The 17,358-nt window shown below is 48.4% G+C and overlaps 1 annotated feature.

The window, feature by feature from the left end:
* Positions 14,032–14,532: an enhancer, noted in NCBI's record as "H3K4me1 hESC enhancer chr14:99370948-99371448 (GRCh37/hg19 assembly coordinates)". NCBI's record gives its function as "activates a minimal SCP1, AML or CMV promoter by ChIP-STARR-seq in naive H9 embryonic stem cells {active_cell/tissue: H9 hESC(naive)}" and the evidence as "EXISTENCE:reporter gene assay evidence [ECO:0000049][PMID:30033119]".

Here is a 17,358-nt window from a genome sequence, read left to right as displayed (position 1 = left end):
GATTTTGAAGAGATATAATCGATATGGGGATTGGCCAATGTGGATGAAGCTGGGGCTGTGGTTGAGGAGGGATGTATTTGTGGAGGGTGTCCAGCAGCAGCTTTAGCCTGAGACTGCAGCCTACGGGAGGCAGGGAAGGAGGGGATGGTAAGAGCTGGGGAGTGTGTGGGAGCAGTTCAGGGGGAGGCCAGAGAGGGAGGGGCGCTGTGTTGTGGGCCCCCAACTGACATTCTAAGGACATTTCTGCTTTGCACTCGGGCTATATTCCGTGTGTGTGTGTGTGTGTGTGTGTGTGTGTGTGTGTCCATTGAGCTTGCCCTTGTGCCCTTTGAGAATCTGGCTTTTTATAAGGAGGATCTTCTCTTGGACACTCTCCCTTCACCTCCCTTCCTATCCTCACTCCACCTGAATGGGCTCTAGGCTTTGTCGTATGTCTCGGTACCCTTGGAGGCTCTGAAAATGCAAGGTCAAGGTCCCTATATGGTTATCAGATGTCCTCAGGGCTTTGCAACTCCGCTTCCTTCTCTAACCCCAGTTAGATTTGGACTTCAGGACTTCTTGCTATCTTGCCAGCTGTTCTACCTGTTTAAGAAGCTGTTTGGTACAGTTTACCCTGAGTTTTTTTTGTGTGTGTGTGTGTGTGATTTCCAGCCAACCTAGGTGGCTTTATTACAGGAAATGGCACTCTTCCCTTGAATGGCTCTATCACTACTGCCAGGTGCTCTATGCCTCAATTTCCCCACTCTGAGAGTGGAAGAAAATAGTACTTGCTCTGCTTAACTTTTTTTTTTTTTTTTGAGACATAGTCTCACTCTGTCACCCAGGCTGGAGTGCAGGGGCTCAATCTCAGCTCACTGCAACCTCTGCCTCCGGGGTTCAAGTGATTCTCCTGCCTCAGCCTCCTGAATAGCTGGGATTATAGGTGCACGCCACGACACTCAGCTAACTTCTTATGAAGCATGAATGAGGTTAATGGCTGTGGTGTTCTTGCAGGGACATGAACTCTTCTTCATATGACGGATTTGGAGGGTCCCAGCTGCTTTGGAACTTGTGATAGGGGGTCTCGTTTCACAGCTGTAAGTCTGAGCCCAGGGAGAAGTCAGCAGCCCAAAATCAGTCCATCAGGGGCAGCATCAGGACTGGAAACTGGGTTTTTTGGATTCCATATCTTGCTTCCTGTTCTCTTCATAGCTCCTCTCCTCTTATCACAAACCATGAACCACAGTGTGAGTGGGGCCGATTAGCTTGATCCCACTCAGGGATATAGCCGGGGTGGGGAGGGCTACACACTAGTTTCACTGCGATTTTGCAAGCTGATGATGGGCTGGGTGTTCAAAGCTCTGTTTTCCATCCTCTTCCTCAGCCTGAGCACAGTTCAGCAGGGTGGCGAGGACGTCACTTTGGATGGCTGTATCTTCTTCTCTCAGTCAAGGGTGAGGCTAAAGCCTGAAGATGAAAGCTTGACTCCTTGTTGGGTATATCTGGCCACAGATGATTAGGGAGGAGGCCCCAGACTGAACTTTTTCTCCAACTCTTCCTTTAGGTAGAAAGGGATGGAATGCAGGATTATGATGACTTAATGGGAAAAGACAGACTCCATGCATGGAGTTGCCTTAATAAACAGAGGATTTAACACTGAAGCCAGAGAAGTCTGGGTCTTAATCAATCTATATGAGACCAATTCTATTACAGACACAAGAGTGAGTCTCCATCCTTTTAAGACTTAATTTGCTCTTCTCACGTCAAAGCAGAAATGGGATGCAACTGTCTAACTGCCAACTCTAAGAAATTATTTATGAAAAGACAAATTCCCCACAAGGCCATCCAGAGAAGGGGGGAAGACAAGGGGAGCAAAAGGAAGAAAGAAAAGAAGGGTGGGGGGAAGGCAACCGGTAGACCTGGCGCTTGACACTAAAGGTTTAACATCAAATGCAGCCAGAAATCCATTTCCACAGTTTTACTGGCCATTCTGGACGCCTCATTTCAAAGGGAAAGATTTGAATTCAGAGACATAACGTTCCCTTTGTTCTCTTGCCCTCCAGCCTTTGGTGCCAGTGTGGACTGTACTACAGGGAGAGGGTGAGATCAAACCCCTCTCCGCTCAGCTACCTGCCCCAGAGCTGGCCCTTGGCATGCTTAATGAAATCAGCTTCTCGATAGATTGACAATGCCCTGTCAATTATAATCATTTATCTTGGCAAGCAGAGCATTGGAACACTTAAAAGAGCAGGGGTTCAGCAGGCCCAGGAAAACCAGAATAAAATTATACTGCATGGTAATCAGAGTGAGAGTATATTGCTCACATAAAATTTTACTTTAACTGTCAGAAGGACTGATATGATCTTACTTCTAATTTTCTGCCCATAGGGTGTTCACAGTTCCATTTGGGTCACTTTCTGCTAACTGTGATGTAATAGGGGATTTGCATACGGTCTATGTAAGAGGAGGAGGGCAATTACCCAGTGCACAGGGAAGTTGGGGTGTTTTCTCATTGCTGTTTTTAGGAAACACCAGGATGGGTGTGCAATGGCAATGACAGAGGTGGGAATACAGGATTGGAGGTGAGTCCTTGTTCTCCACTTCCTGACTGTGTTAGCAAGGGCAAAGCATGCCACTTTGCAGTGTCTCACTGTCTTTCACAACAGAGGAAACAGAGATTGTGTATTATTATAAATGCTGATTTTTGCTGGGCATAGGTCCACCTGGAGGATATGCCTGTCCCCTTCTTGGATCAACTTTGGGTGAAGCAGCAACAGCAAGCCCAGACCCATGAGAGAGGCAGCGGGGGGAAGCTGCATCTTGCTTCTCTGCTCATGATCTAGATGGAAGGGCCAGGTCCCGCCAGGCTGCAGAGCAAAGAGCAGTGAGTTGAAGGGTCTCCTGGCCTCACAGTCCCACAGGCCCTGCATGGCACCTGTCTGCAAAGCCTCCAGGAGAATCTGAGCCCCCTGAGATTGGGGCACTGCTGGGAGAGGGCTGGGGGACTCAGCACAAGGGAGGCCTTGTGAATGGAGAGCACAGAGGAAGGCAGCCGTCATCCTCAGATCCCCGGCTATGAAAACAAGGACAGAGGGGCATGAGGGTCAGCCCTCCAAGGCCAGTGGGCACAAGGGACCACTGTGGTCAGAATAATATGCACTTCCCTCCCTCCGGGCTCAGACCTTCCCTGGAGAGGAGAGGGACAAACCCTGAAGGGACTGAGTGTTTCCCCGTTTGACATCAGAAGGCACCAAGTTATCCTGAGCAGATGATTTTCTACCCTCAGCAGAAAGGAAGCCTGAGAGCTCACTTTGCACCCTGGGACTTGGCCTGGGAACACGTGCAGACCAGCAAGGTCATGCTTCTATTTCCTCTGCTGCAACCTGTTGGGGACATTCTGGTAAATGAAGTACAAATAAAACATATCTGCAGCCAACCAGGAAAAGCACTCCCTTTCTGAATGGCCTTTTCAACAGGCATAGACTGAGCTGCCAGTACCTGGCTTTCAGTAGGGCACAACCTGCTTAGAAGCCCCAGAATTTGGCAATTTGTCTATTGTGAGGGAGAGAGAGGTGTGTATGTTCCTTGCAGTCTGGGGGCTGGGGAGGGGTGGGGGTAGGCTGTATGACAGCAGAAACTGGGAATGGTGGTTGTGCTGGACTTTCGAGGGGGACCTACCAAGAACGCACGTTATATTAACATCTGGGGGGGGGACCTACCAAGAACACACTCCGTGACAGGCCTCGCCTAGGACCCTCCACGATACTGTCTCCTCCTTACCATTGCTGTGCAATGTGGGGGAGGGGGATTCTCTGTACTTTACACCTGGGGAAACTGAGGCTTGAGAGGGCAGAGAGAGACTCTTTTCACTCCTCCAGGAATGCCTTTCTTCCTTCTCCTCCTGCCGACCCTGGCCCCTGTGCCCCAGCCCTCAGCCCCTCCATTTCCAGGGCAGTGGGCCAATTTATTGCAGAACATAGCTCTGGGCAGCTGTGGGCAGCTGTTTTGGAAAAGGGCTTTATGAGGCCAGAACGTTGGCCTCTGCAGCCTTACTAAATTTCTTCACTTGTGCTTCTGCCCACAGGGGCCCTGACAGCTGAAGCTGGACAGCAGGGGTCGGGGAGTGCAGAGCTGCTCAGCCTGTCCTCCTTTTAGCTGGAGCCCCTGTGAGACGGGGTGGGGTCTGGGGCCAGGTCCCCTAAAGGGTACATCCCATGTTAATTATGGTAACATGGTAACAACCATACCTACTTCACAGGGGTATTGTAATTGTTAGCAGAGACACTATTTGACGAGCGTGGGAAGCCATCCCTTAGAGAGTCATGAGGCTCAGAGAGGTTAAGCCCCTTTTCCAAAGTCACACAGTACTCTGGGGGCCACTTTGTGAGCTAGACCTGGCTCTCTTAGCTTCCAACTCACTCCTCTTTCTTCACACTTACTTTCACAGCCTTTAGACAAGAAACAGCTCACTCCCTGGGACCTTTCTAATAACATTTTCTTTCTCTAATTCATACATCACAAATGTACTCCATAAATTAAAAAAAAATCATACAGCCAGTGGGAATGAATGAAGCTATTGTAAAATGACATGAATAGGAATTAAAATCTCAAGCTACATTTTTCTTTTCGGAGGCTGGGGAGGGGACACTAAATCTCTCAGTGGTGAGCAGGGTGCATTATGTCACGAGGGGTGAAGCAGACGCCTGAGTGGGAACAGTGGTCTTTGAAAGGGTGAAATGGGAGTGTCAAGGTTTGTAATCACATTTCCCCAAGATCACGCAGAGCAGGCTGCAGAACAAGGGGCCTTCTGTGTGGGGTCAGGCAGTGGGAGAAGTGGTTAGCATCGCACTGGCCACAGATGGGGAACTGGGAAGAGGTCTGGACTCTAACTATCCTTCTCCTTACCTCCCTCTTTCCCTCCCTGCTTCCTCAGTCCTTTCCTCCCTCTCTTCTTTCTTTCCTTCTTCCCTCCCTCCCTTCCTCTTTCCCTTCTTTCCTTTTTTCTTCCCTTCCTCCCTCCCTTCTTTGTTTCTTTCCTTCCTTCGTTCTTCTCTCCCCCATCCTTTCTTCCTCTTTTACATCCTCCTTTCTTTCTTTTCTGCTACCACCTGCTATATTCCAGACATGTGTTGGGGGCTCTGTTTGAGTCTGACCATCTGAGAATCTTCCAGGGCTTTGGATCATTGCCTGGGCTTGTCCCTTCCACTGCCTCATTTCTGACTGTCTAAAGTCCTGTCTTCCTTCAGTGTCATCTGAAACCCCTGCTTCCCCAAAGAACTGGCTCAGCTGCTGCTTCCTTGAGTCTTTTGCAGCCGAGAGACTCGGCTTGTCCTTACCGGTGGGTACCTGGCTCGTGCAGTTGTAATACATAGATTCTCTTACGTCGTCTTTCCTATAACCCCTTGTGGCATGCTGGTGCAAGGTTAATAGCACAGTTCTTGAGTTTCATCTGATGCGTGATTATTGCTGAAGGAAATTACTCCATGAGCAGGTGGAAGCTAACCCCATCTTACAAAGAAATAGAGGCTCAGAGGAGCTAGGCAGGGAGTGTAGATCATTAGTGAATAGCAGAACCAGAATTTGAACCCAAAGCAGTCAAATTCCAGTGATCCTGTTCCCACCTCATTGAAGCTTTCATGGTGTCCTATTTGACCCTCTGTGTTAGCCCTTCTGAGAGTCTTCTTTTAGAGCTATTTGTGGACATGTGGCAGTTGTATTGAGTGGAAAGATTATGTGATTTGAAGTCAGTTTTATCTCAGCTGCCTCTGAACTTATATTAATAGAAAGGCCTCATCTAGAACTGGCCAACAGGTATGCTCTGTCCTAAGAGCTTTACACACCAAGGAACCCCACATCATCTATGAGGAGGGTACTTTTCCAGATGGGGAAACCAGGCCGAGAGGGGTCACGTCACCTGCCCAGGCTCACATAGCTGGTCCTAGCAGAGCTGGGCTTTCCTCCCAGGCAGCCCCAGTGCAGCATCCATGCTCCTAACCCTGAAGCTGCCTCTAGCATGAGTATCTGGGATGAGACTTAGAAGTAAGGCCAGGAATTTGTAGGACTCAGTGAGAGGGCTCCCTTGATAACAGGCAGCTTCTATACATTATCCCTGTTCTCTCACTACAGTCTCTCCTGGCCAGGGCAAACCTGTTCTCCTCACTTCCATATAGCCTCTAGCACGAAACAGGGCATGTAGCTGCTGTTCAGGGTGCCCTGTACATTGCACTTGCCCAAGGTCTTCTGTACCACCACAGTATATTTACTTCAGAGGAAGCACATAGCATCCTGGTGATGTCCTACGACTTGTGTGCTCTTGACAGCTGTGGTTTTTTGATGCTTGGTTGCTGAGTCTGCTTTGGGGTTGTTGGAGGAAGTTGTCCCAAGGTATTCTATTTTAATGGTATCTAAACAAAACAAAACAGAAAGCTGTGCAGTAAAGCAAAGAACCCAAAGGTGAAATTTTTTATGAATCTTGTTTGTAGCTTCCCAGTTGAATTCAGGAGTATAGGAATAGTTTCCCTGTGTTGCCTCATACTCATACTTCTCAGTTCTGCAGAATATTCTATTGTATGAGCGTTTCTCTGTGTACTTAAGTGTCCCCCTACTGCTGACATAGCTTATATTTTTACCATTTTTTATGGCACTACAGTGGAAATTGTTGGGCATAAATCTTTGCCATTTGGGCCACTGAAATGCAGAGTCCCTTGATGAAATTACTGGTTCAAAGGAAATTCCGTAAGTTTTAAATATACATTCTCTCTCTTTTTTTTTTCTTCATTAATCTAGCTAGCTGGTGGTCTGTGAATCTTGCTTGTTCTTTTGAAGAACCAACTCTTGGATTCATTGATCTTTTTATAGACTTTTGGATCTCAATTTCCTTCAATTCTTATCTGATTTTATTTATTTATTTTCTTCTACTAGCTTTGGGGTTGGATTGTTCTTTTTTTTTTTTTTTTTTCTCATTCCCCTAGGTACGATGTTAGATCATTAATTTGAGATTGTTCTAACTCTTGATGAAGGCATTTATCATCAAGAGTTAAATAAAGCAGTGTTAAGAGGAGATTAAACTCTCCTCTTGACACTGCTTTAACTGCAACCCAAAGATTTTGTAAGCTGTGTCTCTATTTTCATTAATTTCAAAGGACTTTTGATTTCTGCCTAAATGTCATTGTTCACCCAAGAGTTATTCAGAAACAAGTCATTTAATTTCCATGTTTTTGTGTAGTTTTGAGAGGTTCTGTTGGTATTGATTTCTCTTTTTATTGCATGGTGGTCCAGGAGTGTACTTGGAATTATTTTGCTTTTTCTGAATTTATTAAGACTTGCTTTATGGTCAAACATGTGGTCGATCTTAGACTATGTTCTAAGTGCAGACGAGAAGATGTATATTCTGTGGTTGAGTAACATATTCCGTAAATGCCTATTGGGTTCAATTGGTCAAACATTGAGTATAAGTCCAGAACTACTTTATTAGTTTTCTGTCTCGACGATCTGCCTCACACTGTCAGTGGGGTGTGGAGTGGACATTCATGGAACATTCTAGAGAAAGAAAACCAACATGGATTAAGTGCCCATGAAGTCAATGTTGTATTATATTTAATTCAACTATGAGTCTTGAGAGGTGGGTATTTGTATTGGGAATATATGGATACAGAAACTGAAGCTCAGAGGAGAATTCAGCTTGTCCAGGGTCACATGGCAAGATGAGGTCATACTCCAGATGTGTGAGGCACTAAAACAGGGTCATTTCTGACCCCAGGCCAGGGAGGAACATTTTTGACATGAACATACCTGCTAAACAGTGCATTTTAGGCCCCTATTCAGAGCTCCTCTGTCTCTTGGGCACATGGGAGCCAAGTGTCTAGTCCTTCAGTTGTTCCATGTTTAGGGGAAGCTGTGGGCAAAATAACCAAGTTACGGAGGACACCCACACAAGAGTGCAGAGGACTGGCTCTCTCCCAGATATGGCAACATGTGTCTTATTATCCTGCTGATGCTATGAAAATATTTACTTTGCGATTCCATCCCAAATGAAGAGCATGTTGCCACAGCAACCATCAAACCATGAACACTTCGCTAACGACTCCTGGTATCTTTCACTTTTTAAAATCTAATTTTCTGGGCATGAGATTGGCTAGAGAATGTTCCCAACATTTCCTCTGCACTGTGTCTCCACTTGGCAAAAACGCATCTATCATTCAGGGGCCATTTGCTCCTCCTCCAGGAAGTCACTTTGGCTGACATCCAGCTCGCTTGATTGGTAACGGAGTGTCCTTTCTACCCAGGTTCATTAAAATCCTCTTAGTTAGTTGGGATTTATTTATTTATTTAATCATTCATTCATTCATCATCCATCATTCATCCATCCATCCATCCACCCATCCACCCATCCATCCATCCATTTATTCATTCAACACGCATCTGCTGCTAGCAGTTGTAGTAGGCAACCCCCGCCCACCGAAAAACCCCACAAAACAAAATACAAGCATCTTCTCAGCACCTACTCTGTACCAGACCTTGTGTTGGGGTGCTAACATGAGAACACCAGAAAAACCAAACAAACTCAGTAACTACTCTCAAAAGGCTCAAAGACAAGTTGGGGAGACGTTAATCCAAACATGCATTTACAATCTGGGGTAAGGAAGACTTTAATAGGGCATGACACAGAAAAGGGTGTGGTCGACTCTGTTTTCTGGGTCTTCGGGAAGGTTCCCTAGAGAAAGGGGCAGCTAAACTCTCACTGATGGATGAGTAGGAGCTTCCAGAACAGCCTGCTTGAATAATGACCTCCAGACCTGCCACTGGCCCGATGGAGCTTTTATGCGAATTAGAAAGAAGAGTGACCTTTCTCTGGGTGCCTCTGTGCAGTCAATAACCTGCACAGCCCTACTGATAATCCTGCAGATCACTGTCTCCTCTGTCATCGCTGAGCACATGTTTCAGGCTTCCTTGTGCTCCTGAAACACAGAGGCCCACTTGGACTATATATGTGGCTTAGGAGTTGTTTTTGCTGGTTTAGGCAGTGGCTCTCTGAGGACAGAGAGTACCTTTTCCATCTTTGCACCACTCAGGCCTTCATACAGAGTGGCACTCAAAACATTATTGGAATATTCCTAACGTCAGAGAGCTTCATATAACTTACAGTGGTTCCTAAGTGCCAGGCCAGCAACTCACTGCTTCAGAATCATTTGTGGAGGATTTAAAAAAATCAGCCAGAGAATGCTCCCTCCATTTCTTCTGCACTGTATCTCCACCTGGCAAAACCAAATCCGTCCTTCAGTAGCCATATATACTTGGTTCCTGATCTCCCTGGGAGATCTGATTCAGCCGGGCTGTGGTTGGGACTGAGGGTCCTGTGGTTTCTAAAGATAACTAATTCTTACGAGGCTATTACTAATGTCAGACACTGTTGTATTGTATATATCCTCTCAGTTAAGGCTCATGACAGTTCTATAAGGCAGATACTGCTATGATCCCAGAGTTTTTACAGAGCAGGAGGCAGATGCATGGCAATGTTACATGACCTGATTAGGGTCACCCAGCCAGTAAGTACTCAAGCCACAGTCTGCACCCAGGTGATCAGAACCCAGAGGACATTGGCTTCTGTACTATGTGATAACATTGGTCCCACGGTGGCAAAATCTGGGACATCTGCCAATACTAGATTAAAACGGTCATTGTGAGTCACATCCTTCAGGCTTTCCATGTTAGAGAGGGGAAGACTGAGTCCCAAAAGGGCAAACAGACTTGTCCAAAGTCGCCTATGAGTCAGCCGTGGCACTCCGACTGTGATGTCCTGAAGTCCCATTGTCCACCCCCCCAGAGCGATTCATTCCCACCGACTGTAGTCAAGTTAGTGATTAATAATAATAATGCCATGTGGGATCAGTGTTTGCTGTGACATGCTCCGTGTTCTTTCCCTTTTGGGCATTGTGCATTCTGAATTTCTAGATGTCCTTCAGAGAAATAACATAGACTTTCTTGAAAAAAAGCTGAAGACTGTGAGGCAATGGTTCTCAACTGGGGTAGGAGTGATTTTACCCCCCGCCCCCCACGCGCAGGGGACATCTGGCAATGTTGAGACATTTTGGTTGTCACAACTGTCCCAGGAGAGGGGAGTTTGCTACTCCCAGAGGATGCTGCTAAACATTCTACAATGGACAGGGCAGCCTCTCACTACCCAGTTCCAAATGGCCATGGTGCATGGGGGCAGCCCAGTTCCAAGGCAGCTTGGTTTCCCCTTCATCTGCGTCTCCAAAGGGAGGGAAAGTTAGAGGGCTGCAAAGATACGAGGTCTCATTTTACCAGTGTGCTTAGCCAGGGCTTCCTGGCCCATCATGTGCCCTCCCTGACTTCAGTTCTCTCATGGGTAAGGTGAGCCAGGTGGTACCTACCTCACTGGTCCTTTGAGGATCGGTGCTCCTGTACGCAGCATGTCCGAGGCCAGAGGGCACATTCAAAAGGCAGCCGTTCCTACTATAAATAGGACAGGAGGCCCTGAGTAGGCATCCCATCCACCTGTATCCAGGCCATTTGTCACCTGGGGTGGTGATCTGCTTGCCCTGCCATTTCCGCATCTCTTAAATGGGCCTAATGAGACAGTGCTCTCAGACTTGATAAGACAGTGATATGAAGCAACTGGCAGGGGAGCATTCAGTTAATTAATTGGTTCTAGAATGTAATTGTCTGCTTGCTGCTGTCACTATCCTGGGGTTGAGAGCTGAAGGGTAGGCACCGCCTGCTTCACCCCATGCCAAATGGACAGACAGATCCAATAGGTGGGGAAGGAGTGAGGGAGGAGGACTGGGAGGGACGGTGGGGCAGATGGAAGGGCTCGTCATCCCATCACACAGGGCCCAGGATGGAGGAAAGTCCTGCGGAGGCAGGTGGGGCGGGGTGGCAGGGATCAAACCTGCCACACTGTAATTTGGAAACAGTGCCCCAGGGAGGGATTTAGACACAGTCAGGCTGCTTTGTACAAATCACCCCCCTTCCCGGACAGCTGTCAGAATGAGTCCCGCATGAAGCCTGCTCTGTCCCTCCCCCAAGGGAAGGAAGGGGCAGGTGGGGGGCTGGAGGAGGGGCAGGGGCTCACAGGCCCTAAGCCAGGCCCTACACAAACATCGTCCCCTCCTTCCACACAACAACCCCGAGGGCCGGACTTGTAAGGCAGAAACTGCACTTAGGAAGCAGAGAGTAGTCGAATGCTGCAACTCCCCGGGGGAGAGTGGGCGTTGGAATTCAAGAAGCGTGTTTCCTCCACAGTGCACATCTAGCAGAGGGTCTCACACATAGTAGGTGCTCAATAAAAATGATGACGGCAAAAATGAAGGGCAAGCTTGAGGGAGAGCAGACAGGCAAAGGAAGAACAAAGAAAGCACAGGAACAAAAAAACACCAACGCAAAATGGAGAAACTCCCAGAATACGTTTTTTAGGGTGGTTTTGGAGCTTTGTTTTAGCTGGGTCAGGTTAGGTCTGTTGCAGCCGCTAGGCCCCTGTTGGTCACCAGTAGCCCAGGGATGACAATAGCTGCCTAACAGCTGGGTTGGGACAATCACAGAGGATAAAGCCATCACAAAATCTGGACAACGGCACGTGGCTCACAACTAGGGCCCTACCTTACTGCTCTCACTTTCGCTGAGCTCAGAACTGGGGGTCAAATGACTACCCCCTGGTTCTCAGGCAGGAAAGGGAGCAAACTTCTCCCTTGCCTCCCTGGCCTAGCCCTTGCTGTGCTGGTGGTGTGGGCTGGGAAGTACCCCTGGATCTTGTAATATGCCCCCTCCCCCATGCTGCCGGCAGGGCTGGGTAGGGAGGACAGACAGACAACACAAATGAAAAGGAACCCCCAACTCCTGGGGCATGCTTTCCTGCCCTTCCCTCCCGCAGGCTGATTCCGTTTTTTGAATAATGAAGATGCGCGCTTTGAGCCAGCCTTTGAGACAGAACACAGCAGTGGAAAAACATTGGCTTCCGAGTTTGGCAGAGCTGGGGTTAAGACTATGCCATATTTCCTTGCCGCGAGACCTTAAACCACTCATTTTATCTATGATTTAGTTTCCTCATCTGTAAAGTGGGTAGTAAATACTAGAAACAAAGCATACAAAGCACTGAGCACCTGGTAGACTGTCAGTAAACTGCAACTCCTGTCGGAGGCACGGGTAGAGAAACATCCATCTCATCCTTTGGAAGACGTGAGGATGCAGCTCCCTGACGCTGTCGAGGCCTGTTTCGCCGTGGTCATTTGGAGTTTGGAGGAGGGTGTGGGTTGTGAGTGGGGAGGGATCACTGTTCTCTCCTTGTGCTTTTGAATAAACAGTTCCCTCTGATCTTAGCTGCCCTTGCTCCCCGGGAGCACAATTTCAAAGGATTTCTCCATCGAGCAAAAGCAAACCTCAATCATCTTTGTGCACAAAACACCCACCCAGGCTATTTGTCTCCGTCCTGAGCGCTTGGCATGGGGCCCAAGAGGAGCCTTCAGAAGGGAGTGCTTAGCAAAGAATGCTGGCATTCAGATGCAGTTGACTGTCCGCTGTCGGACAGCCCCACCCTCTGTACTGTGCCTGGGGATCTTGGCAGCCCAAGTTAACCACAAGACAAGTTTTATCATCTGTTAAACCTGTCGTTCGGAAAAAAAAAATGACTTCAATAAAATATTTCAACAATTATAGTCCATTTTAATTAGGTGTGTACCACATAATTATAGATTTAAAAAACGTATAGGGTTTCAAAACCCAACACCATGGTCATATGGAGTTAGCTTTTGTCCCCTTCGGAATTTCTAGCCAGATTCTCCACCTGAGGAGACGCTGCATACCTGGCTGAGACAGCTCCCCCCTCCACAACTTGGCCCAATTACCTCCTTTTTACCATTCTTTCCGTTTCCATCTGGAATCTCAGAGTCCTGTAGGCAGCCACTGATAAGCCCACAGGAGGGGGACTGGATGGCAGGTGGCCCCTGAAAGCCTGCAGAGTCAACATTAGGATAGAGGGAGGCCAGGTGATGGGGGCAGTGTGAGAAGGGCCCTGGATGTGGAGTCTGGAGGTCTGGATCCTCTTTCTGGCCCCATCAGCAGCTTGCTAGGCGATCTTGGGCACGTTGTATTCTCTCTCTGGGCGTTAGTGTCTTATCTTTAAAAGGGAAGAATTAGACCATAATTTTTCAAAATTTTGATTTTTGTAACTTTTTGTGTGCAGAATTTCAGTTTGCAAATGAAATTTGGAAAGCCCAATATGTAAACAGTTAAAAATGGAGGTACTTAGGTCAAGTAGGATACAGCCCCAAACTTTCTCTAGTGATCCCTGCAGCCCCTTAAAAGTTTGAAAATGGCCGGGCGCAGTGGCTCACCCCTCTAATCCCAGCACTTTGGGAGGCCGAGGTGGGCGGATCATGAGGTCAGGAGTTCGAGACCAGCCTGGCCAAGGGGCATGGTGAAACCCCGTCTTTACTAAAAACACAAAAATTAGCCAGGCGTGGTGACGGGTGCCTCTAATCCCAGCTACTCGGGAGGCTGAGGCAGGAGAATTGCTTGAACCCAGGAGGCGGAGGTTGCAGTGAGCCTAGATCACGCCAGGGCACTCCAGCCTGGGTGACAGACCGAGACTCTGACTCAAAAAAAAAAAAAAAAAAAAAGAGAGTTTGAAAATGACTGGACGAGATAATTTCAAAAATCCCTTTCCAGTTCAATCATTCATTTATTCAACAAATATTTACCAGGCATCCACTGTGTGCCAGCCCTGTTCTAGGCTCTGGATAGACAGCAGGGAATAAGCCTGGCCCAGTCCCGGGTCTGGGCCCTCAGGGAGCCTCACGGCTGGGACACGGACAATGGTTTCATCCATCGGTGTCCTCAAAACAGCTCCAGGACAGGGAACCATGTGAGGCTCACTCAGGTTGAGGAAGCCACCCAAGGTCTCAGGACTCCTTGGTGGCCGTTCTAGAATGGAGTCCAGGATCTTGCAGCTCCATATTCCTCTGCCCTAGCCAGGACACCCAGCAGCCCGTATCTTTACTTGTGAAGTTGGCGGCTGCTAGACGAGGGTGGGATTCCCCTTCCTTGGCCCAGTTGCCCACCCAGCACCTGAGGGAGCAGTCTTCACCACTGCCCCACATGCCTTTGGAAGTTTTCCGTGGCCTCAGGGAGCACCGCCCTTAGGGGAGAGCTCCCTGGTTGCCCTGGCCCAGATTACCCTCTTCCCCTGGTGCCCTAAAGAACCTGGCCTCTCCTTTCCCAATCTTGCTGTGACTCACTTCTTCCCTGAGGTGGGCTGACTGCAGTCTGAAGCTCATCTCCTGTGTGAGACCCAGGTGTGAGCAGGTGACACCCTCGCCTTGATTGTTCTTACTTGCTTTCCCTGGAGGAGGAGCTGATTCTTGAGTGAATATGTGTTCAAGTTAATGAATAAATGCAGTGATTGAGTGGATGGATAAATAGACAGTGGATGGGTGAATGCATTAATAAATACATTAATAATGTGAGTCAATGTCTGGGGAAATAAATGAATGGATGAATGGATAAATAGATGAGTGGGCAAGTGGATGATGGATGCATTAATACAGAGTAAGTGAACAAGGGAATCTATATCAATCAATATCTATATCTGGATCTGGATCTGTATCTATACATAAACTAGTAAAACTCTGAATGAATGAATGAGTGAGGGAGAAAATGAGTAAAATAGTCTAAGCTGCAATAAAGAAACAAATGAATAGATGAATGGAAGAATTTATGTGTGAGTGAATACATGAGTGAACGGATAACTTCTCTCATTAATGAGCTTCTCAGGCATATGCCAAGCACCTCAGCACCAAGTTCTGCCAATGCACCCTCGTCCTGGGAAATCTATCTAAGGATGGCACAAAGAATCCACCCAAAACTCAAGGCAGCTTTGATGAGCACCAGCCGATGGAAGGATATGGGTGACAATACTGGGCACCCTTTGCTGTCTATGGCCCGGATGGGCTGCAGCCGTGGGTGGTGACTAGCCGACTCTGAAGCTCTCCAGGCGTTTGCTGAGTTGCGTGCCTAGAGTAGCTCCTGTCTCTAGCCCAGGGAAATTCCAAGAGCCTCTAATTAGCCAAAGTGCACAGTGGGGGTGGGAGGGCATAGTGTGGTGCAGAACAGGCACAGAGGGGGTTGCTGTGCATTTTTTTTGCCATGACCCAGCTAAGAGAAGCCAAGTGATTTTCCATAAATTCTATAACAAATGTTTGCCTTAAGGCTCAGGACTCTGGTGCCAAGTTTCAACTTAACCAAATACTTCTGGGTTTGGGAGTTGTGGTGTGTGTGTGTGTGTGTGTGTGTGTGTGTGTGTGTGTGTATGTGTGTATGTGTGTGAGTTAGAGTTAGTTAGAGAGAGAAAGAGAGAGAGAAAGAGAAGTGGGGTTGGGGGAGGGAGATGAGGCCCAGGGTGGAAATACAAAATGTCCTTTGGGGACTGTGGCCCTGTCAAGTGTACCTGATAAAAAAACATTATTAAACCCCAAGCATGGCAAGGTGACCTATGTCACAGTTGGAGTGACAACTGAGGCTCAGAGGGCTGTGAGACACACTCTGATTCCATGTGGGTTAGAATTCAAGTGTGGACCTGCCTGGCCCCAAGGGAGAGTGGGCGTGGTTGTGTTTGGGGAGAAAATATGTGACTGTATAAAAGTGTAGTGTATTCCAGGCAGAAACCTTTCTGTGCCAGCGGGAAGTCCAGTTGAAGGAGCCAGGGCTTCCCATCAGAGGTGGTTTGGGATTGGGTTAATCTAAATGCCTTCAGAGCCAGGCAGGGGTCACCAATGCCTGTGGCCGGCCAGGTGACATTACTGGTGCCCTGATGGTTGGTGACGGAAGGTCCCCTTAGGTGGGAGTGTCTTAGTCTGTTTTGTGTTGCTATAAAGGAATACCTGAGATTGAATAATTTATAAAGAAAAAAGGTTTATGTGGCTCACGGTTCTGACGTTGGAAAAGTTCAAGATTGGGCATCTGGTGAGGACCTCAGGCTGCTTCCACTCGTGGCAAAAAGCAAAGGGGAGCTGCTGTGTGCATCGCTCCCATGGAGACAGGGGACACAAGGCTCGGAGATGGTGCCAGGCTCTTTGTAACAACCAATTCTGCTGGGCACTGTCAGCGTGAGAACTCACTTACTCCCAAGTGAGAACACGAATCTGTTCATAAGGGATTCCCTCTGATGATGTAAACACCTCCCACCAGACCCCAGAAATCCAGATTTTAATTTGAAATTCCCAATGACTAAATGTTGGCCATGCATCTAAAAAAAATCTAAAGTGCTGAGCTGGTCAAGCAAAACTGGACTTCCAGCCTGTGACCTCTGATGTACGGATTAGGAGAAGGAAGATAGACTGAGAAGGAGGGACAGAGTTTTGACCCCTGCCTGGAGGCGCTCCTCCTCCTCCCACCTTCACACGGGCCTGCCTGCTGGGATCTCCCTCACCCAGATCTGTTTAAACCCACCTTGACCCATGAAGCCCTGCTCAAAGAGCTCTTCCATGAAACCCCGGGTCCCTTGAGTCAGGTGTTTGTTATCTTCTGCTCATTGTGGCAGCCCTAGCACCTCCGTCTTTTAATGTAGCCTGTAGGATTTTCTCAGCAGTGCCAGTGTGATGCAGAGTGGTGGCTGCGGGGAAGGCCTGGGAGGATTGCACAGTCTGTGTGTGTGTGTTGGGGCGTAGGTTGGGGGGTGGTGGTGCAGGGAGCAGAGATTTTTTCATAAGTGTGTATGCCATACCTACAAAGCAGAAGCACCCACCCCAGCCTTGGGGAAGGTCAGGAGGGCTTCCTGCAGGAGGTGATTGATGCTTAAAGAATAAGAGGGAGTCAGGCAGTTGGACAGGGACCCATAGCTCCCACTTTGTGCCTGGGAAGAGGTGTCATAAGGGTGAAGGGCATGAGCTTTGGAGACAGGGACCAGCACTTACAGCCTGAACCTTCCTTTTACTAACTGGTGACTCTGAGCGAGCCACTTTGCCATTCTGAGTCTCAGTTTCCTCCTCGGTGACAAGGATCTAATGATGGTTCCCCGATGGGTAGTCTTGGGGATTGGATGGGTGGACCCATGTGAAGCGCTGAGCATCGTGCCTGGCACTTGGTTGGGTTTCGGCTGTAGCTATTACGGAGGGGCTGTCACCTCTCAGGACCCAGCACCCTCCAAGTTGGCCGAAACTCTCCGTGCCTGTGCCCTTTGGGGAGGGAGAATGGTGGAAGCGAGGGTGCAGAGGAGGCGCCTTCCTGGGCCTCCCTGTGGTGGAGGATGACACTGGAGGTTTCATATCCAGGTGTGGGGGATGTGGGCCCCCACCCTGCCATGGCTGTGGGTGGCAGTCCTGTGAGCTCTGCTGTGCTTGGGAGATTATTCAGGCAGGTGCAGTGTGT

The sequence above is a fragment of the Homo sapiens genome, chromosome 14 (genome assembly GCF_000001405.40).
Source record: "Homo sapiens chromosome 14, GRCh38.p14 Primary Assembly".
NCBI classification, from domain to species: domain Eukaryota; kingdom Metazoa; phylum Chordata; class Mammalia; order Primates; family Hominidae; genus Homo; species Homo sapiens.
The sequence above is the reverse complement of the archived record's forward strand: the minus strand, read 5'-3'. Positions and strand labels throughout refer to the sequence as shown.